Here is a 2,209-nt window from a genome sequence, read left to right on the forward strand (position 1 = left end):
TTTATACAGCAAAGAAACTAATGATAGGATGCTTGGTGACAACCATGGTCATGCGGTCTTATAGAAGACAAAGGGGTTGAAACAGCAGTGGAGCAACTGGTTTCTGATATTAGTAATCTTTGGTTAAGTAAAAGGAAAGGCAGATCTGATGCCAAACGTAGGTATATCTGTTGTTTCGTGTATAAAGATGAGAAACTATTATTCAGATTGCTCCCATTTCTCAGGGAAGCACACGGCAAGGTTATCAACTGAGGGAAATTATTTATAAAACCTTAAAAATCATAGGCATATTGGCTGGGCGCAGTGGCTCATGCCTGGAATCCCAGCACTTAGGGAGGCTGAGGTGGGAAGATCGTGAGTTCAGGAGATCGAGATCATCCTGGCTAACACGGTGAAACCCCGTCTCTTCTAAAAATACAAAGAAAAAAATTAGCAGGGCGTGGTGGTGGGTGCCTGTAGTCCCAGTTACTCGGGAGGCTGAGGCAGGAGAATGGTGTGAACCTGGGAGGCGGAGCTTGCAGTGAGCCGAGATCGTGCCACTGAACTCCAGCCTGGGTGACAGAGCAAGACTCTGTCTCAAAAAAAAAAAAAAAAAAAAAAAAGAATATTCTCTAAAGCCAGTAAAGACATGGAAAGCTACACAACAGTATCAGTAATCAAAGATATGCAAATTAAACTCAAAATGGAGATGTGACCAGCCACAATCAGAATGCAAGAACAGTCAGCCTGGTAATACTAAGTTTTGGCAAGTATTTGGACCAATAGGGAGTCATACATCACTGGTAGGGGCTTAAGTTGACAAAACCAATCTCAAAAAAAAAATCATAGTTATATAATAAGAAATGGGAAAAATTTAAATCAGTGGGGAAAATATCTTTTCAAATGACAAGGTAAAATTATGCATGAAGTAGAGGAAAGTATTTCAGATTGTAGTGAGGCAAATGTATAATGCAGAGACATTGCAGAGAAATTTGCCTTGGGCTACCTACACAGAAGTTACAGAAAAGAAGGAAGGAAATGAAAAATTTCTGGAACGATGTCATTTAGGAATAATATTAATTTACAATTACTTTTAGTGAATGGTACATGTCTTAGTCTTCGTGGGCTTACATGACAGAATACCATTGACTAGGTGTCTAAAACAACAGAATTTTGTTTCTCCCAGTTCTGGGGGCTGGGAAGTCGAAGATCAAGGTTCCGGCTGCTTTGGTTCCCAGTGAGGGCTCTCTTTCTTGCTTGCAGATGCTGTCTTCTTGCTGCATCCTGGCCTTTCCTCTGTGCTTTCACAGAATGACAGCAAGAGAGCTCTATAATGTCCCTTCTTATAAGGGCACTCATCTTATCTCACCAGGCTCCCACTCTCATAATCTCAACTGATAATTACCTCCCAAAGCCCTATCTTCAAATATCATCCCACTGGAAGTTAGTGAGAGGTGACAATGTGCTAGCAGCCCTCACTCACTCTCAGCACCTCCTCAGCCTTGTCGCCCCCTCTGGCCGCGCTTGAGGAGCGCTTCAACCGGCCGCTGCACTGTGGGAGCCCCTTTCTGGGCTGGCCGACGCTGGAGCCCTCTCCTTCTGCTTCTGGGGAGGTGTGGAAGGGAGAGGCGCTGGCGGGAACCAGGGCTGCACATGGCGCTCATGGGCCAGCGTGAGTTCTGGGTGGCTGTGGGCTCAGTAGGCCCCACACTTGGAGTGGCCGGCTGGTGCTGCCAGCACTGGGCAGTGACGGGCTTAGCACCCCAGCCAGCAGCTGCAGAGGGGGTGCCAGGTCCCCAGCACTGTCAGCCTGCCCACGCCATGTTTGAATTCTCACCAGGCCTCAGCCGCCTCCCCACAGGGCAGAGCTCAGGACCTGCAGCCCGCCATGCCTGAGCCCCCCCACAATGGGCTCCCGTGTGGCCCAAGCCTCCCCAATGTGTGCCACCCCCTCCTCCATGGCACCGGGTCCCATCAACCGCCCAAGGGCTGAGGAGTGCAGGCATGTGGCACGGGACTGGCGGACAGCTCCACCCACAGCCCTGGCATGGGATCCACTAGGCAAAGCCAGCTGGGCTCCTGAGTCAGGTGGGTACTTGGAGAACTTTTATGTCTAGCCAGAGGATTGTATATGCACCAATCAGCACTCTGTGTCTATCTAGCTCCGGGTTCATGGATGCACCAATCAGCACTCTGTATCTAGCTAATCTGGTGGGGACTTGGAGAACTT

General features: G+C 48.8%; 1 annotated feature.

Moving 5' to 3' along the window:
* Positions 1,832-2,001: an enhancer, noted in NCBI's record as "experimental_77155 CRE fragment used in MPRA reporter constructs". NCBI's record gives its function as "activates a minimal promoter by MPRAs in K562 erythroleukemia cells, with activity observed for the non-introgressed 4:189675968 variant allele {active_cell/tissue: K562}" and the evidence as "EXISTENCE:reporter gene assay evidence [ECO:0000049][PMID:34662402]".

The sequence above is a fragment of the Homo sapiens genome, chromosome 4 (genome assembly GCF_000001405.40).
Source record: "Homo sapiens chromosome 4, GRCh38.p14 Primary Assembly".
NCBI classification, from domain to species: Eukaryota; Metazoa; Chordata; class Mammalia; order Primates; family Hominidae; genus Homo; species Homo sapiens.